The sequence below is a fragment of the Homo sapiens genome, chromosome 8 (genome assembly GCF_000001405.40).
Source record: "Homo sapiens chromosome 8, GRCh38.p14 Primary Assembly".
Lineage (NCBI taxonomy): Eukaryota > Metazoa > Chordata > Mammalia > Primates > Hominidae > Homo > Homo sapiens.
In genome coordinates, this window is record NC_000008.11 from 110,024,702 (window position 1) to 110,033,639 (window position 8,938).

An 8,938-nucleotide genomic window follows, 5' to 3' on the forward strand; every position below is an offset into this window, starting at 1 on the left:
ATTTACAGGTAGACAAGAGTAAAGGATGGTTTCTAACACATGAAAGTGTGGGTAAACAACCCAAGGGGAGACTAGCGTAAAGATTTATTGTGTCCACTCTACAGTTGTTATGCATTTAGGTTCAAATATTTTACTATTATAAATAATGCTATAATATAATATCCTTGTAAAGAAAACATTGCATATTTGTGTATTAATACATCAACGTTTATGATTAATTTCAGAAATTAAATGCCAATTCAAACAGAATGTATGTTTTCCAATTTTATAGAAAGAAAGTTTAGGCCTGTTTATGTTGTCATCAGTAGTGACTGGGTGTGAATGAGAGTGCTTCTCTGCAAAGTCTCCAAAATTAAGTGTTATCAATTTTTTAAGTCTTTGCCTATCTAACTGGTAAATGTATTTTGATAAGGGTAAAATGTATTTCATTTTAATAAAGTTTATATTAGTGATTAAACATTAGGAAGTTTATGTATTTCAATGCTGAAATAGGGTTTCTCAATAGAAAACTATTTAAAGGCAGTCTAACATCCGTTTAGCTTTCTTGCACCCACACACTAGTGGACTCACCCTACCCTTGTTAAGATTACATTTTAAAAGAAAACCATGACTAATTCCTAATTTGAAAAGCTTACACATTAAACATGCAGTCAACCTCTCTTCTTTCACACTCTTACCTTGCTTTGAATCTGTTATATTTGTTGGATATATATAATTCTCATTAATTTGTTCACTCTTTTTAAGACGGAAATTATATCTCATTAATCTTTTTTTTTAATGAAACATTTTATTCTGGATAATTTTTTTTAACTCCTAGTCATTTCTCTATGTCTAGAAGTTTTAACAAATTATTTTTATAGTTAAAGTTGACAGATATTTTGCTTTGTAATTTTTTCTCATTACTTTTATATACAAAAGTGTTTCTATCTACAGATTAGAGAAATTTCACTTGGTTATTTCTTCTAAATTTTAAGTACTACATTGTAATATATAATTTACCTGCAATTTATGTTTTATAATGTATAATGGGAGTATAATGGGATAAAGGTATCTATTTTGCTTTTGATTTTTTACAGATAGTTGTATCAGTATCATTTTTAAAATAATGCATGCATTCTTCATTTGTTTGTTAGGTCTCAGCAACTATAGGTGGTCTTTCCACAGCACTTAGGCAACTCGCAGGAGGGTAAGCAGATTTTAAAAGCAAGCATCCTGAAAGCAAACATTCTAAAAGGCTCAGGTGGAAGCTGCTTGACTTCATAACTTTGGAAGCCAGGTTAAGGAAATCCCAAATCCCACTTTCACTGCCTTCTATAGGCCAAACAAGTCAGTAATGCCAGGCCAGTCATGAAAGGAACCAAATTAAGCTTTATCTCTCAATATGAAGACTAGAAAATAACTTTTGGCCATTTTTAATTTACCAAACCCTGCACTCTTGCCACATATTGTTTACATTTTCCCCCACATTCTGTGAAGGCTCACCCCTTCCCAAGAGCCTCAGAATGGGATGAGATTCTGATTCATCTTTATATCTTCCCTAAACCCAGTGTCTCAACACAATGCTCAATACACTTTCGTTATGTAAGCTTTTTGCCTATATGGCTCAGGAGAGTAGGCTTTTTTCTTTGAGCAGATCTGGATATTTGGCCTGGGCACTATACCTAGCTCTATGTCAGGCAAGAGCTTTTTCTCTGGACCAGTTTTCCTATACATACAACTGGAAAGTTCAACTAGATAACAACTAAAGGTTTTTTTTTTTTTTTTAATCTAAAATCCTATAATACTTTGCCTTTTTATTACAAGTGAACAATTTCTGTTTATATTATAAAATAGAATTTAAATAATGTTGTCTAATTGCAAAGTTTTACCTAACAAATCTACAGAGTATATTTCCTTTCAAATGCAGTTATTACTTACAAAATGGAAGTTTAGTCATCACCTCTCCACAGTGTGTTAGCCCCATCTAGTGAATGATTAATGAATTCTCAAAAGCCAATAGCATATGAACTTTTTTAAAGCTACTGCTGAATCATATGTCATCTTGTTTCTAGACTTGTAGCAGCCTTTGCTATTTCAGATGTAGCCAAGATTGAAAGAGGAATTGATTGTGAGATTAATTTTAAAAATGTTTGTATGCCTTTGTAGAATAGATTTATTTTAAGAATAGGGTTACATAAAGAGCTATAATTTATTTCTCAAATCCTCCCCCACGTTTTAATTTTTACTCAACATTTAAATGCTTGTAGTTGTAATAGTCAAACAATTCTATATGATTAGATACAGAAAACAGAAATCCATGCCACTCTTTTCCCCTAATTTCTTTCCCTAAAGGCAATTACACTCACTTAATTTTAGTTATTTTAATACTTGCTTCTATGCCTGAAATAACATGCTTATTATTACTCCTTGATGTTTTTCAACTTTAAGCCACAGAGAAGAAGAGGAGTTAATGCTTTTTGTTTTCTTTTCTGAGGATATATCATATATGTGAGTAGAAATTTCGATAACTTTCCTTTCCTGCTCACTTTCCCACCACTCCCCAACCGAAACTGTCATGTTTATCATTTGCTTAGTTTTCAATGTGTTTCTCATTAATCCAGTCTCAAATTGGTTATTCACTAAAACCAAGACTGCAGACACCTCAGGTATTCTATTTGTTCCATCTTTCTGAACAAATCTTTCTCAAAACTTTCTCACTTGCTCCAATGCTAGTTTGCCCTCCTTGCCTGGGACACAGCTGTTATCCTGGATTTGCCTGGGAGGTCTTCTCATCTTCTGCCCATGTTGTTGTGTCTCTTGTTTTCTGTATATGTCTTACTGTCTCTAGGTTTAGAGAGATGAAATGTGCCCTCCAGCAACTTCAAGAGAAAGAATACTTGGGAAATATGTTTTTGAGACTTTGCATCATGGGTACAATGACTTGTTATTCAGCATGAATTCCAAATGTCTTTTAGTGTATGGAAAGCTAAAAATCATATTTTCGAGACTTCCACACAGTGGGGTTCTAAAAGTCCTGTAATTTGTACAAATAAGATACACTTACACAAATTTCAAATTTATTAATGAGGAATCACCAAGCTTTGTTGGAAAGCACCACTGTGGACAGGTGTATTTTGATCATGGAGGCTTCCTGAGTGTGGTAACTTTTGAATAGACGAGGAGGTAGTAGTCCTTTGGTGGCCTGGTTTGTTAGCAAAGCTCACAAAGTCATTCCTGAAAGCCCAACATAAAGTCTGTTTCTTCAGTCATTTGATACCCTGCCATACTAGTTAACACTAACTATGGTTGTCTCTGTTTCCTGCACTGAGCCTTGAATGGGATATCTTACAGGTGCAAGTTTGGTTAGATATAGAATTTTAAATTTAAAATAATTTTTGTGTATATATTTTAGTTTTCTTGCTATGAAATATGAAGCCTTACTAGTCCCTCATCCAATGTATGTGACTTTTTTTTCTCCTTTTGTGGAAGCTTAGGTGAGCTGTTCTTTGTCTTTAGTGATTTGAAAATGAAAGATAAGTTCATTGTAGATTCTGGATATTAGCCCTTTGTCAGATGAGTAGATTGCAAAAATTTTCTCCCATTCTGTAGGTTGCCTGTTCACTCTGATGGTAGTTTCTTTTGCTGTGCAGAAGCTCTTTAGTTTAGTTAGATCCCATTTGTCAATTTTAGCTTTTGTTGCCATTGCTTTTGGTGTTTTAGACATGAAGTCCTTGCCCGTGCCTATGTCCTGAATGGTATTGCCTAGGTTTTCTTCTAGGGTTTTTATGGTTTTAGGTCTAATCCATCTTGAATTAATTTTTGTATAAGGTGTAAGGAAGGGATCCAGTTTCAGCTTTCTACATATGGCTAGCCAGTTTTCCCAGCACCATTTATTAAATAGGGAATCCTTTCCCCATTTCTTGTTTTTGTCAGGTTTGTCAAAGATCAGATAGTTGTAGATATGTGGCATTATTTCTGAGGGCTCTGTTCTGTTCCACTGATCTATATCTCTGTTTTGGTACCAGTACCATGCTGTTTTGGTTACTGTAGCCTTGTAGTATAGAAATTTACAAGAAAGAAACAAACAACCCCATCAAAAAGTGTGTGAAGGATATGAACAGACACTTCTCAAAAGAAGACATTTATGCAGCCAAAAGACATATGAAAAAATGCTCATCATCACTGGCCATCAGAGAAATGCAAATCAAAACCACAAGGAGATACCATCTCACACCAGTTAGAATGGTGATCATTAAAAGGTCAGGAAACAACAGGTGCTGGAGAGGATGTGGAGAAATGGGAACACTTTTACACTGTTGGTGGGACTGTAAACTAGTTCAAGCATTGTGGAAGTCAGTGTGGCGATTCCTCAGGGATCTAGAACTAAAAATATCATTTGACCCAGCCATCCCATTACTGCATATATACCCAAAGGATTATAAATCATGCTGCTATAAAGACACATGCACATGTATGTTTATTGTGGCACTATTCACAATAGCAAAGACTTGGAACCAACCCAAATGTCCAATGATAGACTGGATTAAGAAAATGTGGCACATATACACCATGGAATACTATGCAGCCATAAAAAATGATGAGTTCATGTCTTTTGTAGGGACATGGATGAAGCTGGAAACCATCATCCTCAGCAAACTATCGCAAGAACCAAAAACCAAACACTGCATGTTCTCACTCATAGGTGGGAATTGAACAATGAGAACACATGGACACAGGAAGGGGAACATCACACACTGGGGCCTGTTGTGGGGTGGGGATAGCAGGGAGAGATAGCATTAGGAGATATACCTAATGTTAAATGACGTGTTAATGGGTGCAGCACACCAGCATGGCACATGTATACATATGTAACAAACCTACACATTGTGCACATGTACCCTAGAACTTAAAGTATAATTAAAAAAAAAATGAAAGATAAAATGGCTGAGTTAGTCTGTTTTCTTCCTTCATGCTGGGCAATAGATGGGTCCTTTCAATGTACAAACTCATGGTCTTATTTGTGGAAGATCTCTTAATTGTTTCAGAGAGTATTTCTTTTCCTCAGTTTTTGCTGTTCATTTGTTTTGGAACTGCTATCTTTTGGCTACTGAAATTTGTGCAATGGTCTGCTGATTTAGTTTTATCTTTTATCTCTTATTTTCATCCCCTTTTAAAAACTTTTAAAAAATAACAGGTGTCCTAAATTCTGCCTTTTAACATATGAATATTTTAAAACCTTTTGCTATAATTTTCTTTAATTTTCAAGGGCACTTCTTTTTTATTATCTTAATGCTTCATTTTGATAGTATCTGGGTCTAATTTTATTATTATAATATTTTCCTTTTTAATATATGCATACTAACACTTCATGGTCTCTGTTCCCTTTAAATTACCCTTTTCTGTTTTTACTCGGCCTTGATTTTTTCGTAGAGGCTTCCTTCAAGTGTCTCATAATCTATGATGCTGCTCGCCTGTAACAGCGAGGAACTTAAAGGCTGGCTGAGGACTTTGAGAACATGATTGGATTTGTTCACTGCGAGCTTTACTACAGGATGTTCTGGCAGGGCTGTGTAGCCATACTGTACATATTCCTCAAAGCAGAAACTAACTAGTTTTCTTTTGAAGGGCAAATGCCTAGATGTCACTTATTAATAAGAAATAGTTCTTTTCTCCACAGTCTCTAGAAGGACTGGAAGCTACCAATTCCACAGCACTTTGGTAATTCTGGATGGTAAACTGAGTTGCCCCTTGAAATTCCTCATTGCAATTTAAGCTTTGGCTTACTCAAATGCATCTGCATTTCGACGTCTAAATCTGTATTACTGGTTTGCCTCTGCTCTCTCCTTTGTGGATTGGCCTTTTAAAACAATTTCCCTTTCTGAGGAGATTTGGAAAAGAGGAAAAAGAGGTGTGTTCTCAATACTCATAATCCATTTTTAATTTTGGATTTCATTTTTTTTGTTCTGATATAATTCTTGAGGCAATACACCATTTCATAAGTGAATGCAAGGGTATGTGTATATGTGTGTGTGTGTGTGTGTGTGTGTGTGTGTAATGCATATATACATCTATCTATCTATCTATCTATCTATCTATCTATCTATCTATCTATCTATCTATCTATCTAGTATCTATCTGATTTGCATGGTCAACTGTGCTGTCAGTGAATACAGAACAGGAAAGTAGTTTGGGGGAAGGGTTTGTGAGGCTGAGTAGTGATAAAAAAGTAAAAATTAGATAACAAAATAAAATTTACCTCTTTGTCTTAGCTACTCCCTGTCAGGGACGTAGAGACTTTTGGAAGAAGTTGGTTTTTGTTTTCATTGCCACAAGGGCACAGTTCGATAAATTAGTCCCTCAAAGTATTTAAGTATTAAACCTATAAAAATTTACTGAAAGTGTAATTTACTAAATAATTCAGGTGATTTTGAAAAGTAGTGTAGCTTCTTAGAATGTAGCTAGACAGCAAGAACAATCTACTGCAAAAAACTGTATTTAGGCAGAAGAAGAGGGAAAGTTAAAGTCATGACTAGTTTAAATTTTGTCATAAAAGTATTTTCATATTTGCCATATAGATAAAGATCTTATGAATCCAGGGAAAAGTAGAATTAGGTAAGACAACTAATGTGGTCATAGTGGGGAAAGAACACACATTTATTTATCTATTCCTGTATTTGACAAATATATATTGACACTTATGAGAGATATAACAATGAACTACAATCTAAAAACTTTGCTTTCTACAGGATCATGGCAAACAAACACAAACTTATAAGAAGTACAAAAGTGAAAATGTTATGTACATCAATGTGGCCAGGCCAGAGCCCTCTGTGTTGGTGACTGTTTTTACTTAGAAATCCAAAAGGGATGTGAGGAGAATCCATGTAGATATGTGGGAGAAGAGGAGTCAGGGGAAAAGACACTTTTGTTGATAAGCCAACTAAAACTAGCTCCAGCAAAACAAAACAAATAACAAACACAAAATATAAGCCTCCTCAAAATTAGGAGATCCAAAACTTAGGCATGATACAACTAAAAGGAGTCAGTTGATGTCATCAGAAATACCTGTTCTCACCATCCCCCCACACCCCTCAATACAACTCTTTTTCTCAGTTTTAGTTTCATTTCCTTTTTTGAGCATGCTTTCTCCATGTAACAATAGGATGATCCCTGGTAGACTAGTATGTATATGTATATCATCCTTACACATTGTGATCTTACGGAAAAAGAGCACAGCCCTTATTGGGCCAGAATGTGTGTCAACCACTCAAAGGGCTTATGGCTGGCCTTGTTTAGGCCCAGTGCCTGTCCTTGTGTCAACTATGTTCTTCTCATAGTAATGTACTCTGACTGGCTAGCCTGAGTGACACCCATATCCCTTTTTGTTATTGTTATTATTGTTTTGTTTTAGTAGAGATGAGGTTTCACTATGTTGCCCAGGCTGGTTTCCAGCTCCTGGGCTCAAGCAATTCTCCCGCCTTGACCTCCCAAAGTGCTGGGATTACAGGTGTGAGCCACCTAACATTCCCAGCCAACATGATTGACAGCTAAAATCTGTTAGAATTGGGGAGGAATCATTCTTAACAGTTCCCCAAATTAAGAAAATGCAATGAAGGCTAAACACACACACACACACACACACACACACGATTAAATTTAAGTATGGACACTTCAAAAGGAAATTGTTGGTGGGACCAACTCTGTTTTTCTAAGACATACTTTGAAAAACATTGTTTGTTTGTAGAGTGATTAGTAGGATTTAATGTATTGTTATCTTAGGAAGTGACTTCAGCTTTAGAAGCAATGCTAGAAAAGGACTATGCTCTGAAAAATAATAAAAGAAGTCCGCTGGAACTTGGTCCTGGCCTAATTTCAAGGGAGATGGACAAAGGGGTGATTATAAAGCCTTTATGATGTGCAGCTTACCTTGCTAGATTAAGACTGGGGACCAAGGCCTGAGGAAGGAATTGAAACTGCACATGGCTGGAGTAGGTTCAGGCAGGATAGGTTCCATTACCTTGAAATAATAAACAGTCCAATTATGATTAGCTGAAAACAAAGAAGATTTCTTTCTTCCTCAAGCTACATGTTCATCATAGATCAGCTGGTGGGCTCTGCTCTCGGTGGTCACTCAGAGACCAGGCAAACAAAATAGCCACCATCTTGAAGCTTTGCGGTCACTATGGCAGAAATAAAGACAGCTCTAGGTGCTTTCATGTATGTAATACATGCTTTGACTTGAGAGGGTGACATGTCACTTTTACTTATGACTCAGTGGCTAGGATGTTATACTACCTTGCTCTTCCTCAAAGGGACCAGGAAGTACAATCCTACTAAGTGCCCGGAAGAGTAAGATCTGGATGGTTTTGGTAAAAATCATGAATGGCTAACACAAATATTTATGCATTGTATTCGCTGTAAAACATGTCAAGGAATTATGGGACAGAAGCACAGTTTAGCAGAAGAAGGGAAAACCTTGACATTGATATAATCAAGGAGTTAGAACAAAAGCTTGTGGAAACTACTAATGGCATACTATGCAAGGTACAGGAATATTAGTGTTAATACTTTTTCGCTTAAACTCTAAAAAAGTATTTAGAATTTATTTAAATTGGATATTAGAAATTACCTATGCTAAGGTAAGCTTATATATAGAGAAGATTAAACTATACAAACTTAATTTATGATAAATAGCTCTTGGATCCTGGACTGAATCCATTTTTCAGATTATCAAATCAATAAATAAAATATAATTCATGGCCCAGTGCAGTGGCTCACACCTGTAATCTTAGAACTTTGGGAGGTCAAGGAGGGAGGATTACTTGAGCCCAGGAGTTTGAGATCACCCTGGGCAACATAGTGAGAAACTATCTCTACAAAACATAAAAAATTAGCTGGGCATGGTGGGGCATGCCTGTAGTTCCAGCTACTTGTGAAGCTGAGGTGAAAGAATGCCTTA

At 35.8% G+C, this 8,938-nt stretch overlaps 1 annotated feature.

Annotated features, from left to right (window-relative positions):
• Window positions 7,280-7,369: an enhancer, noted in NCBI's record as "active region_27816". NCBI's record gives its function as "activates an Ori minimal core promoter by ATAC-STARR-seq in GM12878 lymphoblastoid cells {active_cell/tissue: GM12878}" and the evidence as "EXISTENCE:reporter gene assay evidence [ECO:0000049][PMID:35858748]".